At 44.5% G+C, this 19,599-nt stretch overlaps 1 protein-coding gene across 2 annotated transcripts in view, besides 5 other annotated features; it reads left to right on the forward strand.

Annotated features, from left to right (window-relative positions):
• Window positions 8,640-8,934: an enhancer, noted in NCBI's record as "tiled region #5940; HepG2 Activating DNase unmatched - State 1:Tss, and K562 Activating DNase unmatched - State 1:Tss". NCBI's record gives its function as "activates a minimal TATA promoter and a strong SV40 promoter by Sharpr-MPRA in HepG2 and K562 cells {active_cell/tissue: HepG2 | K562}" and the evidence as "EXISTENCE:reporter gene assay evidence [ECO:0000049][PMID:27701403]".
• Window positions 8,640-8,961: a biological region, named in NCBI's record as "Sharpr-MPRA regulatory region 5940".
• Window positions 8,912-8,961: an enhancer, noted in NCBI's record as "active region_7044". NCBI's record gives its function as "activates an Ori minimal core promoter by ATAC-STARR-seq in GM12878 lymphoblastoid cells {active_cell/tissue: GM12878}" and the evidence as "EXISTENCE:reporter gene assay evidence [ECO:0000049][PMID:35858748]".
• TRAFD1 (TRAF-type zinc finger domain containing 1) overlaps window positions 8,915-19,599 on the forward strand; it is a 28,045-nt gene continuing 17,360 nt past the window's right edge. The window contains exons 1-4 of one of the 2 annotated variants that reach the window (NM_001143906.2): window positions 8,915-9,504; window positions 13,866-13,924; window positions 18,093-18,228; window positions 18,368-18,421. In NM_001143906.2, coding sequence (NP_001137378.1) covers window positions 13,878-13,924; window positions 18,093-18,228; window positions 18,368-18,421 — 237 coding nt within the window. In that variant the 5' untranslated portion in view covers window positions 8,915-9,504; window positions 13,866-13,877. The remainder of the gene's footprint in view (window positions 9,505-13,865; window positions 13,925-18,092; window positions 18,229-18,367; window positions 18,422-19,599) is intronic. The other variant, NM_006700.3, reaches the window with a different exon arrangement.
• Window positions 9,372-9,441: an enhancer, noted in NCBI's record as "active region_7045". NCBI's record gives its function as "activates an Ori minimal core promoter by ATAC-STARR-seq in GM12878 lymphoblastoid cells {active_cell/tissue: GM12878}" and the evidence as "EXISTENCE:reporter gene assay evidence [ECO:0000049][PMID:35858748]".
• Window positions 14,069-14,118: an enhancer, noted in NCBI's record as "active region_7046". NCBI's record gives its function as "activates an Ori minimal core promoter by ATAC-STARR-seq in GM12878 lymphoblastoid cells {active_cell/tissue: GM12878}" and the evidence as "EXISTENCE:reporter gene assay evidence [ECO:0000049][PMID:35858748]".

Here is a 19,599-nt window from a genome sequence, read left to right on the forward strand (position 1 = left end):
GGTGGCCCCTGGGAACTCTGCCTGGCAAACAGGCAGCCTGGAAAATGTCCCAGCATGCTCTGAGGCCTCTGGTCCAATCCCAGTCCTCCTCATGAATATGTATGAGTCCCCAGTTATCAGCTGCGGCTCTGAGCCTCTTCCTCCCTGCTCAACCCCCCACCGCTCTCTTCCCCACACAAACATCCCTCACCCTTCCTCTTCTCCTTGATAACTGTCAACATCTCTTGCTCCTTGCTTCAGAACTGATGAAATAATGTGAACATTTCAGGGCCTGAGGACATATCTAGAGTGTTTCAGGGCCTGGCACCTTGATTAGGAAACTGGCTTTTAGCAGTAGTTTCACAAATAATTCTCCAGTTAGAGATGAATATACTTGTGACTATGTGCCAATAATAATAATAATAATAAAATCAGATGAATGTCTAAAGCCCGCCTTGGAAGACCTAACTCCATCTAGAAAATAAAAGTGCGTGATGTCCTTCTGTGGCAGACACTGTCCTTTGCTCTTGCTTCCCTAATAGCTCCCTCCCTGGTTACTCCCCTGTTATTCCCTGGTTACTTCCCCTCCCAGTGTGTCAATTATCTAAGCCTCTTTGAGTAATCAGATGGCCAGCTAATGAGTGAGTGCCTGAGTCACCCTGGGGCCACTGAAAAATAAAAAAAGATGGAATTCCAAAACTTGTAGGTAGAAATTAAAAGACTGCATTGTTTTGGTTTTTAAGCCAGAGCCAGTACAGTGGCTTACACCTGTAATCCCAGCACTTTAAGAGGCTGAGGTGTGAGGATCATTTGAGACCAGGAGGTCAAGGCTGCCGTGAGCTGTGATTGTATCACTGTATTCCAGCCTGGGTGAGACCTTGCCTCAAAAAAATTTTTTTTTAATTAAAAAAAAAAAAAGCCAGGGGCCAGGTGCGGTGGCTCATGCCTGTAATCCCAGCACTTTGGGAGGCCGAGGTGGGCAGACCACGAGGTCAAGAGATCAAGACCATCCTGGCCAACATGGTGAAACCCCGTCTCTACTAAAAATAAAAAAATTAGCTGGGCGTGGTGGCGTGCGCCTGTAGTCCTAGCTATTCGGGAGGCTGAGGCAGGAGAATCACTTGAACCTGGGAGGAGGAGGTTGCCGTGAGCCAAGATCACACCACTGCATTCCAGCCTGGTGACAGAGCAAGACTCCGTCTCAAAAAAAAAAGAAGCCAGGGCTAAATAAATATTAATAAATCATGAGAGCTAGAGATATTTATGTACACACGGATGACTGGAACTTTTAATAACCAAAAGCCAAATAAAGGCAAACTCTATAGCCCATTCCGGTAATTCTACTCCTGGGTGTATACCTAACAGAAATTAACATCATATCTAACCAAGAACAAGAATATTCATACCTGGCTGAAACTAGAAACAAGCCAAATGTTCATTAACTGTAGAATGGGCTAATAAATTGTGAAGTTGTGAAGATATTCACAATTTATTAAGAATACTACATGACAATGAAAAGGAATGAACTAAGGTTATATGCAATGACATGGGTGAATATAACATTCAAGATATTGCCTGAAAAAAGTCTGACACAAAATAGTATATATTTCATCATTCTATCTGTTCCTACGGAATAGAACAGGCAAAACTATTCTTTTTTTTTTTTTTTTGAGATGGAGTCTCGCTCTGTTGCCCAAACGGGGGTGCAGTGGTACAATCTCGGCTCACTGCAACCTCTGCCTTGCGGGTTCAAGCGATTCTTTGGCCTCAAAGTCACAAGTAGCTGAGACTACAGGCATGAGCCACCATGCCCGGCCAATTTTTGTATTTTCAGTACAGACGGGGTTTCAGCATGTTGGCTAGGCTGGTTTCGAACTCCTGACCTCGTGAGCTGCTGGCCTTGGCCTCCCAGAGTGCTGGGTTAATAGGCATGAGCCACCGTGCCTGGCCGGGCATTTTCTATTTCTTGATCTGAGTGATGGTAACAGGGGTATATACAAATACAAAACTCCACTCCTAGGTGAAATTTCTCCTAGAGAAATGAAAACATACATCCATGCAGGGCTGGGTGCGGTGGCTCACGCCTGTAATCCCAGCACTTTGGGAGGCCGAGATGGGCGGATCACGAGGTCAGGAGATCGAGACCATCCTGACTAACACAGTAAAACCCTGTCTCTACTAAAAATACAAAAAAATTAGCCAGGCGTGGCGGCAGGCGCCTGTAGTCGCAGCTACTCAGGAGACTGAGGCTGGAGAATGGTGTGAACCTGGAGGCGGAGGTTGCAGTGAGCTGAGATTGCGCCACTGCACTCCAGCCTGGGTGACAGAGTGAGACTCTGTCTCAAGAAAAAAAAAAGAAAACATACATCCATGCAAAATTTGTATACGGTTGTGTAGAACAGCATTCTTGGCTGGGCAAGGTGGCTGAAGCCTGTAATCCCAGCATTTTGGGAGGCCAAGGCAGGCAGATTGCTTGAGTCCAAGAGTTCGAGACCAGCCTGCGCAGCATGAGGAAACCCCATCTCTACAAAAGATACAAAAAATTAGCTGGGTGTGCTGGCATGCACCTGTAGTTCCAGCTACTCAGGTGGCTGAGGTGGGAGAATTCCTTGATCCCGGGAAGCAGAGGTTTCAGTGAGCCGAGATTGTGCCGCCACTGCACTCCAGGCTGGGTGATCAAGGCAGACTCTGTCTCAGAAAAAAAAAAAAAAATTGAAAGAAAAGGAAAGAAATGAAGTACTGATGAATGCTATAGTATGGATGAACCTTGAAAACATCATGCTAAGTGAAATAAACCATCACAAAAGTCTCCATATTGTATGATTCCATTCATATGGAATGTCCCAAATAGGCAAATCTATGAAGAAAGAAAACTGATGGGTGATTGTCAGTCCGGGCATGGAGATGAGGGAAGTAACTGTTAATGGGCACAGTTTCTTTTGGGGATGATAAAAATGTCCAGGATCACCGGGCACAGTGGCTCACATAATCCTGGTACTTTGGGAGACCAAGGTGGGCGGATCACTTGAGGTCAGGAGTTTGAGACCAGCCTAGCCAATATGATGAAACCCCGTCTCTACTAAAAATACAAAAATTAGCTGGGCGTGGTGGCAGGTGCCTGTAGTCCCAGCTACTCGGGAGGCTAAGGCAGAAGAATCGCTTGAACCCGGGAGGCGGAGGTTGCAGTGAGCCGAGATTGCGCCACTGCACTCCAGCCTGGGCGACAGAATGAGACTCCATCTCAAAAAAAAAAAAAAATTGTCCAGGAACTAGATTGCAGTGATAGTTGCACAAATCTGTGACTATACTAAAAAATCATTGTGAAGTCTACTTTTTTTCTTTTCTTTCTTTTTTTTTTGTTTTTTGAGACAGAGTCTCAAACTCTGGGAGGCAAACTCTGCCTCCCAGGTTCAAGCGATTCTCCTGCCTCTGCCTCCCAAATAGCTGAGATTACAGGTGCCTGCCACCACACCTGGCTAATTTTTCTTTTGAGACGGAGTCTCGCTCTGTCACCCAGGCTGGAGTACAGTGGCGCAATCTCTGCTCACTGCAACCTCCACCTCCCAGGCTCAAGCGTTTCTGCTAATTCAGCCTCCCAAATCCCTGTATCTGGGATTACAGGCATACGCCACAATGCCCAGCTAATTTTTGTATTTCTAGTAGAGGCGGGGTTTCACCACGTTGGCCAGGCTGGTCTCGAACTCCTGACCTCAAGTGATTCACCTGCCTTGGCCTCCCAAAGTGCTGGGATTACAGGCATGAGCCATCGCGCCTGGCCAAAAACAATTTTTTTTTTTTGGAGGTAAAAGTTTCTCTCTCTTATCCAGGCTGGAGTGCAGTGGTGTGACCATAGCTCACTGCAGCCTTAAACTCCTGGGCTCCATTAATCTTCTCACCTCAGCCTTCCAAGCACCTGGGACTACAGGTGCGCACACTAACGCCCAGCTAATTTTTATTACTTTTAGTAGAGACGAGGTCTCCCTGTGTTGCCCAAGCTGATCTTGAACTCCTGGGCTCAAGGGATCCTCCTGCCTCAGCCTCCCAAAGTGCTGGGATTACAGGTGTGAGCTACCATGCCAGGTCCACTTTAAATGGATGAATTGTCTGATATGTGAATTATACCTTTGATAAAACTGTTACTGTTATTTAAAAAGTCCTTACACAATATACTTAAGATGTATGCACTTTATGGCGTGTACTTCTACCCCAGTCAAATTGAAAACAAAACAAAACAAAATAATAGTAGTTTCCTACCAGAGGTGTCTGAGAAGATGGGCAGAGAGGGAGAAGATATTTGGGATCGGGTGCTTGTTGGGATGCCAGGGAGCAAGGGACTTACTGCCAGAGTCGCCTCTTGGTGCACCCAAAAAAGTACCAGGAAGATGAACAGGAAGGGGCCTCAAAAGACAGAGGGAGCTGGCGAAGGGCTGAGAGAAGTGCAAAGGATGGAATGCTACAGGGTAGAAAGGAACCCAGTTTCATGAAAACCCAGTTTGATGAAAACAGATTTGGTTTTGGCCAAAAACAAAAAAATAATCCACCTTTAAATGTTTACTGTAGGCTGGGCAAGATGGCTCACACCTGTAATCCCAGCACTTTGGGAGGCTGAGGTGGAACACCTGAGATCAGGAGTTCGAGACCAGCCTGACCAACATAGTGAAACCCCATCTGTACTAAAAATACAAAAATTAGCCGGGCATGGTGGTACATGCCTGTAATCCCAGCTACTTGGGAGGCTGAGGCGGGAAAATTGCTTGAACCCAGGAGGTGGAGGTTGCAGTGAGCCGAGATCATACCACTGCACTCCAGGTTGGGTGACAGAGCGAGATTCTGTTTCTTTTTTTCCTTCTTTTTTTTTTTGAGATGGAGTTTCACTCTTGTTGCCTAGGCTGGAGTACAATGGCTTGATCTCGGCTCACCGCAACCACCGCCTCCCGGGTTTAAGTGATTCTCCCTCCTCAGCATCCCAAGTAGCTGGGATTACAGGCATGCACCACCACACCCGGCTTATTTTGTATTTTTAGTAGAGCTGGGGTTTCTCCATGTTGGTCAGGCTGGTCTCGAACTCCCGACCTCAGGTGATCCACCAGCCTCAGCTTCCCAAAGTGCTGGGATTACAGGCATGAGCCACCACGCCCAGCCAAGATTCTGTTTCAAAAAAAAAAAAAAAAAAGAGTTTATTGTAAAGCAGCACCTTGAGGTAATTCTGCAAGTAGAAATTGAGTGCCTTCCATGTGTCCGGGCTAGGCATGGGGCCAGGAATCTGTGACTCTAAGCAGCTGCTTGCTGGGATGTAAAAGTGGGAGGAAGGGAACACGTTGGCAACTAGAACCACAAGGAAAAGCTGCATTCTGTCAGGGAAGATCCCTAGCCCTTGAGCGGGGCTGAGGCTGCGGGAGGTAGAAGACAGTTCAGAACAGGGATGGGGGCGTGTTGGGGAATGGAGGAGTCATGTTGGCTTCTCAGACTGGGTAGTGACAGCTTTGGCTAGAGGAGAGGAATTTCCCTCCCCCAGCCTGGCAGGGCTCTGAGTAGGGCTGAGCTGGGAAGGGTAGGGCAACACCTCTCCCTTTGGGCTTTATCAAAATTCCACTGCAGTGAATGCTAAATCTGCCAGAGCCCAGAAGTGCCATTTAGGCCATGACACCAGAAATCCAGATTCAGTTAATTTAGTGAGTTTTTAGGGATGAGGTTGAGGTACTAGGGAATTGGGATAGTGAGGAGGTTGACCTTGAGCAGACATTCAAATTTCTAACAAGCCGGCTGGGCGCAGCGGCTCACGCCTGTAATCCTAACACTTTGGGAGGCCAAGGTGGGAGGATCATTTGAGGTCAGGAGTTCAAGACCAGCCTTACCAACATGGCGAAACCCTGTCTCTACTAAAAATACAAAAAAATAGCCAGGCATGGTGGTGGGCACCTACAGTCCCAGCTACTCGGGAGCCTGAGGCAGGAGAATCGCTTGAACCCGGCAGGCGGAGGTTGCAGTGAGCCGAGATCGCGCCACTGCACTCCAGCCTGGGCGAGAGAGTGAGACTTTGTCTCAGAAAAATAAAAAATAAGTAAATAAATAAATAAAAATAAGTTTCTAACAAACCCTTTAAAGATTCTGGTACAAGGAGGTTGGGGGGAACTCCATCTAATCCTCTCATACAGGTGACTCCTGGTAAACCAAGAAGCAGCTCTTCCTCTAACCTAATCTAAATCCTTTCTGCTGCCACTGTAATCACCCCGCCTTGCCTGCCTTTTTTGGTCAGGAATAAAATATCCCTAAACTTTTTTTATTTCTGCTGTTGGATTTAGGCCAGTGAAAATAAGGCACCCCAGGGGTTAAGTGAAATTTGAGCTTATCATTATTTCAGTTCATTCCTTGCTACCCTGGACCTTGTTGTCTCCTCCCACTGTGAACTATGAATTTAGAGGAGCTTCTGGGTCACTCAGGCAACGGAAGACAGGACTGCCATTCTCCTGTTTATTTATTCAAAATGTGTTTATACCAAGTGGATGACTATACGGAGCAACTGAAACTCTCCTACACTACTGTTGGGAACGTTTAGTTGTGCAATCACTTCGGAAAACAGTTTGGTAGTTTCTTGTAAAGTTAAAACATAGACTTACCGTATGATCCAGCAATCCCACTTCCAAGTGTTTATCTGAGAGAAATAAAAACATATATCCCCAAAGACTTGCACAAGAATGGTTACTACTGCTTAAACTAGAATCAATTTTTTTTTTTGAGATGGAGTCTTGCTCTGTCACCCAGGCTGGAGTGCAGTGGTGCCATATCAGCTCGCTGAAACCTCTGCCTCCCAGGCTCAAGCAATCTTCTCACCTTAGCCTCCCAAGTAGCTGGGACTACACGCATGAGCCACCACGCCTGGCTACATTTTTGTATTTTTTGTAGAGACAGGGTTTTGTTATGTTGCCCAGGCTGGTCTGGAACTCCTGAGCTCAGGCGATCCACCCACCTTGACCTGCCGAAGTGCTGGGATTGTGGGCGTGAGCCACCATGCCTGGCCAAAAACTAGAACCAGCTCTAATGTTTGTCAGTATAAATTGTGGCATATCCATGTGCTATGCTACTTGGCACTGAAAAGGAATAGACTTGATATTATCAACAGCATGGATAAACCTCAAAAACATTATGCTGAGTTAAAACACCTTATTCATAAAAGAACACACTATATGGTTATCTTTTTTCTTTATATATACTTAATACATTAATATACTTAATTCATATTAATACACATTTTTTCTGATTGCTTTTTAACTGTTAATGATTGTGCTTTCTTTTGAACTCCAGTAAGTTTTGTTATTAAAATGTAACATACAATGTAAAGTGCTTAAGATATAGGTGTGTAGCTTAATAACTATTTACTAATTAATCCATCTGTGTTAATCACTTTGCTGATCAAGATATAAACATTTCTAGAAAATCTTTCTCATATCTCCTTACAGGCTATATACCCTCTGAATGGAACCAGTTACTTACTTCTCTCACTTTAGGTTAATTTTCCCTGGTTTTAAACTTTATATGTTTGGAATCACACAAGTTATATTGCATATTTAAGCTAAATATTTTATCTTGTTATAAATATTGCTTTGAGACGGAGTTTTGATTTTGTTGCCCAGGCTGGAGTGCAGTGGCTCAATCTCGGCTCACTGCAACCTTCACCTCCTGGGTTCAAGCGATTCTCCTGTCTCAGCCTCCCAAGTAGCTGGGATCATAGGCGCCTGCCACCACGGCCAGCTAATTTTTGTATTTTTAGTAGAAACGGTGTTTCACCATGTTGGCCAGGCTGGTCTTGAACTCCTGACCTCAGGTGATCCACCAGCCTCTGCCTCCCAAAGTGTTGGCATTACAGGCGTGAGCCACCGCGCCCAGCCTGTTAGATGCTTTTCTTGCTTAGTACTATCTCATTAACATTTTGCAATTATATTATATTATATTATATTATATTATATTATATTATATTATATTATTTTTGAGACGGGGTCTTTCTCTGTCCCCCAGGCTGGAGTGCGGTAGCATGATCAGGGCTCACTCCAGCCCTGCCTCCTGGGCTCGAGGGATCCTTCCACCTCAGCCTCCCAAGGAGGTGGAACTACAGGTGCGTGCCACCACGCCTGGCTAATTTTTGTATTTTTTTTGTAGAGATATGGTTTCATTATATTGCCCAGGCTGGTCTCTAATTCCTGAGCTCAAGAGATCCACCCGCCTTGGCCTCCATATTTTGCAATTATAATCTGCAATGGAATCATAATTTTAAATTGCTGTATTGTTTGTAATATGTGCTTGGTTATACTTATATAATTATAAGTTGGTTTGTAATATGTGCTTGGTTATACTTATATAATTATTCTCTCCTTTATTATACATGAGGTAAGAGAAGCTCAGGGAATCCATTCAGGCAGCAAGTGGAGAAACTAGCTCTCAAACCTGCATCTCAGGCTCTCATTCTTCCACTGCAAAAAAGCAAAGTGCTCAAAAAATATGGTCACAGATCTGCAGAAGTCTTGCACAAGGGCATTATCATAGCAATAAGAATGACTAATAAGTATTAACGGCCCATGAGAAAAGAACAAATACCATTAATTATCTCAATATATTAAGCATATTAGTAATGTTTGTACAGAATTATTCATGCAAATATTATTAGCCTGTGTCGGGGACAGTTGCTAAACTCAGCAACAGGCTCACAGCTCAGCTTCGTGCCTCTGGTTCCAGATGTGCAGGGGCCAGGGCTTCCAGGGACACGCCCCCGTGGGCCTCCAGGGAGCCAATCGACGCGCAGAAGGCGGGGCCCTGGGAGCGACAACGGTGTTATCCAATGGGCCGACAGCTGGAGCCGCCCCTGGCCAATGGGCGCGCTCCTCCGCGATGGGCGGAAGTGGTGAGGCAGCTCTGAGGGCCGTTGTTCAGTGCGGGGTCTGACAGAGGAGGCTCCGTGTCTGCAGCTAGTGTGTCAACTCAGCGTTTCTCCTCTCGTCCCTGGTGAGGTGTAGCGGCGGCACGCGGCTGGAGATCCCCTGTGGCCTCCAGTTTAGGAAGGGTCCAGCATCCCAAGGGAGGGGTGTGTGGGCGAGGGGTCTCTGGGCCCGGGGTCGCGGCTGTGAGGAGAGGATGCCCGCGCGGCGGCATCTCAGGCACCTGGAGGAGGCCGCGCTTTCTCCTCAGGGAACCGGCGCCTTGGCAGCCCCCGGCGACGCCGCCCCCTTCGCGGCCTAGGTTGGTCTGGTGAGCCGGGAAGCGGGCGTCGTTCGCAGCGCCGCTGTGACCACCGCGTCCCGGGCGGAGCTGGGCTCAGTGCCGGCCTGGGCCTAGAGTCCGAGCCTCGAGCTGCCGGCGTGGGGGGTCGCGAGTGGCCTAATGCGGCCTCGAAGCCGAAGGACCCGAGTCCGAGCTCGCACTCCGACCCGCTGGTGCTGTGGAAAACTCAGGTGGCCTTCCGCTTTCGTAGCCTCTAAAGTGGGGACCAAGACTTTCACCTCTTAGGATTGTAGTCGGGATTAAAAGATTTTCCCGGTAAGCGTTTGGCAACTGCTATTATTTGAGAAGCCGCTTACTTCTTCACTCCCCATCACCGACCTTCCTGGGGACGGGGGCGATTGGAAACTGCCTTGGGGTATCTGGACCCGGCAGGGGAAGCTCCGCCGCCTCGGGCAGAGGGACGGTCCCCTCTGCGGACTAGAGAGATCTAGCTGACCCCCAACAGGCTCCTTATAAGCTTGAAGACTTTTCTGTGCCTCAACTCTTCCGTGCATTCGCCCGTTTCCTTGACCCTTTGAAGTATTGTCAGTCCTCTGCCTGAAGAATCTGAGGCCCAGAGAGGTTAAATCTGGCAGAACCAGCCAGACCTTGACCCCCAGAGGGGGACCCTGCAGGCTACCCCCAGTCTCCTTGCATCTAGAAAAGCAAGCACCTGCTACATCTGAGCTCTGGCCTTAGAGTTGGCCAGAGTGGGCTGGAATAGAGCACACCTGAAATCAGTCGGACAGCCTTCCTTAGTTGCCATTTCATATCAGAGTGAATATCTTTTTTTTTTTTTGAGATGGAGTCACCTTCTGTTGTTCAGGTTGGAGTGCAGTGGCGAGATCTCAGCTCACTGCAGCCTCCGCCTCCTGGGTTTAAGTGATTCTCTTGCCTCAGCCTCCTGAGTAGCTGGGATACAAGCGCCCGTCACCACGCCCAACTAATTTTTGTATTTTTAGTAGAGACTTGGTTTTGCCATGTTGGCCAGGCTGGTCTCGAACCCCAGACCTCCAGTGATCTGCCCACCTCGCCCTCCCAAAGTGCTGGGATTACAGGCGTGAGCTGCTGCGCCCAGCCCAGAATGGGTGTCTTGAATTATGTCATTCCCTAGTTTAAAGCCCTTCAGTGGTTTACCATTGAGCTTGGAATCGAATCCAATATTCTTTCTGTCTGATATGACAAGACCTTCTTGAGTCATTCCCCTTTTTTATTATGCTCTTCCAGATCTGCCTTTACTTTCTCTTTCATTGCTTTTAGGCCTTTTGCCCTTCCCACTGCCTGGATGGATTTCCCCGCATTCCCATCCTCTATCTTTGTCTTTTCGTGGTTGGCTCTTGTACTTCAGTTCTTAATTTAAATGTCGTCTCCCCAGAAAGTTCTTCCCTGACCACTCTTATCTACCTAAAGTAGATTTGCCTCTATTCCGCCCCCATTTATTTGTCAGTATACTTTTCCATCACAATACTCAAGTTATATGTATTTTTTTGCTTATTGTTTTTCTCTACCACTAAATCGCTTTATCAGAGACTATATTTCCTTATTTTGTAAAGTATTTTTAGTGCCAGGGCACAGTGGCACACAGTATGGTCTTCTTTTTCTTTGAGACAGGGTCTCACTCTGTCACCCCGGCTGGAGTGCAGTGGTGTGATCACAACTCACTCACTGTAGCCTCGACCTCCTGGGCTCAAGCCTCCCAAGTAGCTGGGACTACCTCAGCCTCCCACCCCAGCCTCCCAAGTAGCTGAGATTACAGGCATGTGCCACCATACCCACCTAATTTTTTGCTTTTTTGTTTTTTGTTTTTTTTGAGAGGGAGTCTCGCTCTGTCGCCCAGGCTGGAGTGCAGTGGCGTGATCTCGGCTCACTGCAAGCTCTTTTTAGTAGAGACTGGGTTTCACCATGTTAGGCAGGATGGTCTCGATCTCCTGACCTTGTGATCCACCTGTCTCGGCCTCCCAAAGTGCTGGGATTACAGGCATGAACCACCGCACCCGGCTGCTTATTTTTTATAAAGGCAGGGTCTTACTATGTTTCCTGGCTGGCCTTGAACTCCTGAGCTCAAGTGATCCACCCACCCCAGCCTTCCAGAGTGCTGGGATTACAGGTGTGAGACACTGCACCTGGCCCACAGTATTGTCCTTTTTTTTTTTATTTTTATTTTTTGAGACAGAGGCTCACTCTGTTGCCCAGGCTGGGGTGCAGTGGTGTGATCCTGGCTTACTGCAACCTCCACCTCCCGGGTTCAAGCAATTCTGCTTCAGCCTCCCTAGTAGCTGGGACTACAGGCACCCGGCTAATTTTTTTATTTTTAGTAGAGAGGTGTTTCGCCATGCTGGCCAGGCTGGTCTTGAACTCCTGACCTCAAGTGATCCGCCCACCTCAGCCTCCCAAAGTGCTGGGATTACAGGCATGAGCCACTGGACCCAGCCTCAAAGTATTGTCTTAATTAAGCATGTTGAACAAATGACTAAATACATGTTTTGAAAAGTGGCAACTCGCTTGATAATGCCAAAACCTTTAAAGAACCCTACTGGGGGCAGGATTTAAGACCATTTTTGTATCATGGAAAGGAATAATCTAAACTAAACAATGGTAGTAAAGTTGCCAGTGCTTTGCTTTCTGCATTGACATCTTGTTTAAAAAGCAGGAGAAACTTTATAGTGAAGAAATTTGGCAGACACCATATCAACTATGTGATCATGGTTTACATCAATAGTAAAATAAGACTGTTGACATCATGTACCTTCTGATATAAGGCACTGAGATGAGCACAACATGATTTCTATGGTGTTCTTGCCAAAAATATATAACCTGAATTTAATCATGAGAAAATATCAGACAAACCCAAATTGAAGGATATTATATAAAATAACTAGCTGGCTGGGCACGGTGACTCATGCCTGTAATCCCAGCACTTTGGGAGGCTGAGGCTGGCTGGTGGATCATATGAGGTCAGGAGTTTGAGACCAGCCTGGTCAACATGGTGAAACTCCATCTCTACTGAAAATACAAAAATTAGCTGGGCATGGTGGTGCACACCTGTGGTCCCAGCTACTCAGGAGGCTGAGGTCGAGGTTGCAGTGAGCCGAGATCGCAGTGAGCCGAGATCGCACCACTGCACTCCAGCCTAGACAGCAGAGTGAGACTCTGTTTAAAAAAAAAAAAAAAAAAAAAGCCAGTATGCTTAACAAGGTCATGAAAGAGAAGGAAAGACTGAAGAACTCTCCCAAATCAAAGGAGATTAACTACAAGTAATAGCCAAATGCAGTGTGTGATCCTAGATTGAATGCTGAACCAGAAAAAGGGTGGGATGGTGATTTTTTTTTTTTTTTTTTTTTTTTTTGAGACAGGATCTCACTCTGTCACCCAGGCTAGGGTGCAGTGGTACAATCACTGCTCACTGCAGCTTTGACCTCCTGGGCTTAAGTGATCTTCCCATCTCAGCCTTCTGAGTAGTTGGGACCACAGGTGTGTGCCACCACGTCTGGCTAATTTTTAAATTGTTTGTAGAGAAGGGTTTCACCATGTTGCCCAGGCTGATCTTAAACTCCTGGGTTCAAGCGATCCTCTTCAGCTCAGCCTCCCAAAGTTCTGGGAGTACAGGCATGAGCCCCTGTGCCTGACTTGTTGGTGAAATTTGAATGAATTCTATAGATTAGTTACTAGTATTGTATTAGTGTTAATTTCCTCTATTTGATAATTTTACTATTGTTATGATGCTTTTAGGGTAATTGGATGAAGTCTGTAAGGGATGTTATTTTATTTTTATTTATTTATTTATTTTTGAGACGGAGTCTTACTCTGTCGCTAGGGTGGAGTGCAGTGGCACGATCTTGGCTCACTGCAACTTCTGACTCCCTGGTTGAAGCGATTCTCCTGCCTCAGCCTCGCGAGTAGCTGGGATTACAGGCATGCGCCACCACACCCAGCTAATTTTTGTATTTTTAGTAGAGATGGGGGTTTCACCATGTTGGCTAGGATGGTCTCGATCTCCTGACCTTGTGATCTGCCTGCCTCGGCCTCCCTAAGTCCTGGGATTACAGGTGTGAGCCACTGCGCCTGGCCAGGATGTTATTATTATTATTATTTTTGAGACAGGGTCTCACTCTGTCACCCAGGCTGGAGTGCAGTGGCATGATCATGGCTCTCTGCAGCCTTAAACTCCTAGGCTTAAGCATTCCTCTTGCACATTCCTCCTGCCTCGGCCTCTCGAGTAGCTGGGACTACAGGCACACATCACCATGCCTGGGTAATTTTTTTTTTTTGTATTTTTTGTAGACATGACGTTACCCCATGTTGTGGCCAGGTTGGTCTTAAACTCCTGGGCTCAAGTGATCCGCCTGCCTCGGCCTCCCAAAGTACTGAGATTACAGGCATGAGCCACTGTACCCAGCCTAGTAAAAGTATTTTATTTTATTATTTTTATTTTTTAAAACTCCCTTATCCAATAAAATTATTTTAAATTGAAAATTTTAAAATAAGAAAATCCCAAGGGACTGGATATTGAATAAAATGCTTTAACATGCAGGTTTGGGTGACAGTTTCTGTATACTAGTTTTTTATTTGTTTTTTTGCATGTCATCTTTAAAGCAGAAATGAAAGAGAAAGTTCATGTCTTCCTTTGTGGTTTTCAGGAAGAGCTAAAGATGGCTGAATTTCTAGATGACCAGGAAACTCGACTGTGTGACAACTGGTAAGACATTAAATCTAAGAAATGTTAGTGGAATGAGGACAGTCAAGCTTAATCACTATCATTTCCTGATTTAAAAACTGTTAGTGAAGACTGGCACAGTCTTGAGTTAAGCTTTCTATTTTGGTGTTTATAACCCACATGAATTACAAGAAAGAGCATCTCTTTCCTGATGAAATGAAACCGGTTGTAAAGTTAATAATCAGCTGGTTCCTGTTGGGGTTTTCCTAAGAACTTATCTTGGTATCTTGGTGCTATACAAGTGCTGTTACTGTAAGCTGACAAAAAAAGCAAAGCAGAACTGTCTGCTATGTTTATTACTTTATTTTCCTTCACTGGGTACTTCTTTCACAATGTGCTATGTTTACCTTAGCAAACTGTGGTAGAAAGAGATGTGGAATAAGGAAAATAGTTTAACTCATTGGTGGAATATTTGAGCCAAATAACATTTTTGTCATCATCGTTGTCTTTTTCTTTCTTCTCAGCCTAACTTTGGCAGAATTAGAATATAATTAGAGCAACAGCTGGTTACAATATTCTTTACCTGCTTGGAATTAAGATTTCATCTCATTGTAGGTGTCTTGCCATATTGTAGAGTATTTCTGCTATGCCACTATCACTTTCTACCATTTCATAAACTATTTTAGTTTTGTTTGGGTTTTATATGTATAGCTACTGAAACAGAGTAATCAGAAACAAATAATCAAAAGAAAACATGATTTTGTAAGAAAAGAGACACATTGGTTTTTAGCATTAGTTAAGATACACCTATTTTATCAGTCCACTCCAATTAGGAGGAATCTCAAGCCTAGGACAAAATATAAATAACTATGCTAAGAGAGTTAAAGGGTGAGTTAATGGAAAGCTAGTGAAAAACAATGCTATTCAAAGCCAAAGAAATTAAAGAAAAAAGCAGATTAGCATAGAAGGCTGACTAAACCTGTAAAGAATTAATTTCTGGCTGTTTGTGTTTAGTGTTTGGAAAGTTCTTGGGAATTTTTCTGGAAGCTTTGGTTTGCCTTTCAGCTATTTCTATCTAAATGAAATTTCACCTCTAATTTGCTAGCCCTTCCTTGAGACTTTTAGCAGTTTTATCTGGATACGGAATTGTGTGCTCATTTATCTCACTTAAAACATCTTCATTTTCTCCGAAGGTAGGAAGTAAGCATATTAGTATTTGGTCTGGTTGGAATGTTTGGTAGGAATATGTTGGCAGTTAAATTTTAAAAGAAAAAAACCCAGCAGGCAACTGTTTTATATAATTGTTGCAAATATCTTTTTTATTTCAGCATTTCCTAAGAGGTGAATATGTGCAATAGTAAATGCTTTGTGGTCTTACTTGACAGCTGCTTTTGATTCTTGTTGCTTCATATTATGATGGTGTGGTCCTTAATATTTTTTGTTTTAATTCTAAAGTTTTAGGGGCCTTGTGTATGTAGTATGTCAACAAGTTATCCTGAACAGCCTTGTAAAGTAAATGCTAGACATTTAGTGTCTCCATATTTACCATTAAAATAAAAATTATTGCCAATATTATGAAAAAGGAACCCAGGTTTTCTACACCCTAAGCAGTAATTACTGGCTTTAATTTTCATGGCATTTGTACATACATGATTTACAATCACAATATAACATTTCTTCTTTCACTTTGTTGGTATACTATATGTAACTTAGCTATTCCTTTCTTGCTTAGGTATTTTTAATGACTTTCATTTTTTACCATTCTATGATACTGTAATGAAAATATTCATACATAATCCCAAGAGTAGGATTATTGTGTTACAGAGTATATAATTTTATGGTCCTAGAAATGAATTTTCAGACTGTTTTTAGGCAGTTTATACTACCACCAGTAATGTATTAAAGTATTCATTTCACAACATCTTTAAAAAGTTGGGATGTATTATTTTAACTAAATTAATTCAAAATGAGTAGTTTCCTTAGAAAGCTAAAAATTTGAGAGAAATATGGGAAGTTAAATCTGTCAGTAATTTTCCTCTTTATCCATTTGAGTTTTCTTCCCATCTCTCACAGTTGATTGTTCTGTCACCTTCCAGTGCTGCTTTGAGAGCTGCCTTGGGGTCCCTAGCTTGATAATTCCACCACTGGATGAAAATGAATTTGCACTTCCTTGGTGTCTTGGTCTTTCAGTTTGGAAGAATGACTATAGCTGGAGGCACATCATTTATCCTACTTCAAAATGTTTCTTAGACAATGTCTGAATATTAAAGGTTATTAAAAGAGAAATAAGCTATTTATAATTTAGTATGGGAGACAGTTCTTCTAGTATTCAGCTTCAGAGGCAAAATATGGTATTAAATAATGTGTTTTATGACTATCTGTATTGATCCTGTTCAGTATTTTATTTTTCTGAATTATTGTTATACGTACCTTCTTTAATGTAGTTTTTAGCTGGTGAAATTGGAATTTTACAATGGTCCTATCCAAATAAGTAAAAGTAAGGCCTTTGAATAGAATGTACCTTTAGTTCGAGTACATGTATAATCTTTTCATGTTTAAATGGTCTTACTCTTTCATGTAACATTATCACTTTACCTCCTTAATTTGTATAGCTTAGATATGATCTTTGAACCACTAAACTAAGTGAGAAAGGCAAAAATGAAGTGGAGAGACCAGACTGGTGGAGGAAAGGGTTCAGGATTTCATTTTTGTACAGCTTTACAGTGAAGTTTCTACCAACCCAGCCAGAGAGCATGTTCCTGTAGTCAGGAAGCATCCAGCCTGCTTCGAAAGGCATGTGAGGCATACAGGAGACAATTTCCCCTTCCCCTTTGACTGTCCAAAAGCTGGAGTCTTCTCTTTTTGGTTTGACTTTTCATGGAATAAAATCCAATGAAATTAAACTACTTAAAAGTGAGAGAAAATCAGTGGTAGGGTGTTTTTTCACTTGTTTTTGTTGTTGTTTTGGTTTGTTTTCTGTTTTAAAATAATCCTGGAGCGTATCACTCTGCTTTGGGACATGGATGGTTTTGGAATAGCCTAGCTCCACTCTTTTTGGCATCTGACTTCATGTTGTGATCAGCTCTGACTTTGAGAAAGTAAGGCTGAGCTTTTAGATGTAGTAGTGCATAGCACCGGTAACTCAGAATGTTGCACAGAAGAGCCTTCAGGATTTAGTTCTTTTTTTTTTTTTTTTTGATACGGAATCTTGCTATCCCCGAGGCTGGAGTGCAGTGGCATGATCTCAGCTTTCTGCAACCTCTGCCTCCCGGGTTCAAGTGATTCTCCTGCCTCAGCCTCCCGAGTAATTGGGATTACAGGTACCCGCCACCACACCTGGTTAATTTTTTATATTTTTGGTAGAAGCGGGGTTTCACCATGTTGGCTAGGCTGGTCTTGAACTCCTAACTTCAAGTGATCTGCTTGCCTCAGCCTCCCAATGTGCTGGCGTTACTGCACCTGGAAAGGATTTAATTTTTTTTTTTTTTTTTTTTTTTTTTGAGACAGAGTTTTGCTCTTGTTGCCCAGGCTGGAGTGCAATGGCACGATCTAGGCTCACTGCATCTTCCGCCTCCCGGGTTCAAGCGATTCTCCTGCCTCAGCCTCCTGAGTAGCTGAGATTACAGGCATGTGCCGCCACACCTGGCTAATTTTGTATTTTTAGTAGAGACGGGGTTTCACCATGTTGGCCAGGCTGATCTCGAACTCCTGACCTCAGGTGATCTGCCCGCCTCAGCCTCTCAAAGTGCTGGGATTACAGGCGTGAGCCACGGCGCCCGGCCAGTTTTTTTTTTTTTTTTTTATAGCAACCTCTGCCTCCTGGGTTCAAGCGATTCTCCTGCCTCAGCCTCCCGAGTAGCTGGGATTACAGGTGCCCGCCATCACGCCTGGCTAATTTTTATATTTTTAGTAGAGATGGGGTTTCACCATGTTGGCCAGGTTGGTCTCGAACGCCTGACCTCAGGTGATCCGCCTGCCTCGGCTTCCCAAAGTGCTGAGATTACAGGCATGAGCCACCGCGCCTGGCCAGGATTTAGTTCTTGAAAAGCAGGAATGGTAATAGTCATGAGTTTGTAGGCTAGGTATTCACTAAAGATAAATAATGGAGACTAAAGATTGGACAGGACAGATTTCCATGTGATGCCACTGTGCAAGAAAAGGCATAGATTAGTCAGTAATGCTTGCCTTTTTCTTTGGTCTATTTCCGTAGCAAAAAAGAAATTCCTGTGTTTAACTTTACCATCCATGAGATCCACTGTCAAAGGAACATTGGTATGTGTCCTACCTGTAAGGAACCATTTCCCAAATCTGACATGGAGACTCACATGGCTGCAGAACACTGTCAGGTGAGCCACCAAGTACTCAAATGTTTATACATGTGTTATACTTGCTGTTGTTCGTAAATGTATTCTGTTTGCTATTGTGCAATAGCAAATGAGCATATTGTCCCAAAGCCAATTTACTGATTCTCACTTCTTACTCTAGGTGACCTGCAAATGTAACAAGAAGTTGGAGAAGAGGCTGTTAAAGAAGCATGAGGTTAGTCCATGGAGTGAGTTACCGTGGGCCCAGTCCTGCTGAGATTACAGACCCACATGCAGAGCAGGAAGCCAGTCTGGTTGAGTGTTAGTTCTCCGTGAGCTCACATGCATACTGTTTCTCAAAGCCTGTTTGAGGCCTTGACTATGTAACTGCTGCCAGATTCGGCTACCTGGCTGTTGGAACTCACTTGTGTATGTTGAGACTCGCGAAGTATCTCCCTTTGGAACTGAGTCTATTATTTCTGTTGGGGTTTGGTTATTGGCAGCCTCACTGAATATGAAGCCAGCCCTAGAGTTGCCAGTATGGGATAACCTCTTTAGCACACAGCCTGCCTTACAAGCTGTCATTTCATTTAAAATTCTTTTTTGTTTGTTTGTTTTTTGAGACGGAGTCTTGTTCTGTTGCCCAGGCTGGAGTGCAGTGGTGTGATCTCGGCTTACTGCAACCTCTGCCTCCCAGGTTCAAGCAATTCTCCTGCCTCGGCCTCCTGAGTAGCTGGGATTATAGGCGCCCACCACCACTCCCAGCTAATTATTAGTAGAGACGGGATTTCACCATGTTGGCCTGACCTTGTGATCTGCCTGTCTTCAGCCTCCCAAAGTGCTGGGATTACAGGCGTGAGCCACCACATCTGGCTTCATTTTAAAATCTTGAACACCTGGATAACATGCTATTTAACCTAAGAAATTCCTCAGCATTTGGTGAGAGAGAATAGAGTATCATTTGCTCGCTAGTTGAGATAAAACTGGCCAAAGGTTTTTTTTTTTTTTTTTTTAAATACAGACAGGGTCGGCTGGGCATGGTGGCTCATGCCTGTAATCCCAGCACTTTGAGAGGCAGAGGTGGGCAGATCACTTGAGGTCAGAGTTTGAGACCAGCCTGGCCAACATGGTGAAACCCTGTCTCTGTTAAAAATACAACAATTAGCTGGGCGTGGAGGTGTGTGCTACTTGGGAGGCTGAGGCACGAGAATCGCTTGAATCCGGAAGGCAGAGGTTGCAGTGAGCCGAGATCGCGCCACTGCACTCCAGCCTGGATGACAGGGTGAGACTACATCTCAAAAAAAAAAAACCCAAAAAATAGAGACAGGTGTTGTCTCTATTGCTGTGTTGCACAGGTTGGTCTTGAACTCCTGGGCTCAAGTGGTCCTCCTGCCTCAGCCTCCCAAAGTGCTA

This window comes from Homo sapiens, chromosome 12 (genome assembly GCF_000001405.40).
Source record: "Homo sapiens chromosome 12, GRCh38.p14 Primary Assembly".
In the NCBI taxonomy this organism is placed as follows: Eukaryota; Metazoa; Chordata; class Mammalia; order Primates; family Hominidae; genus Homo; species Homo sapiens.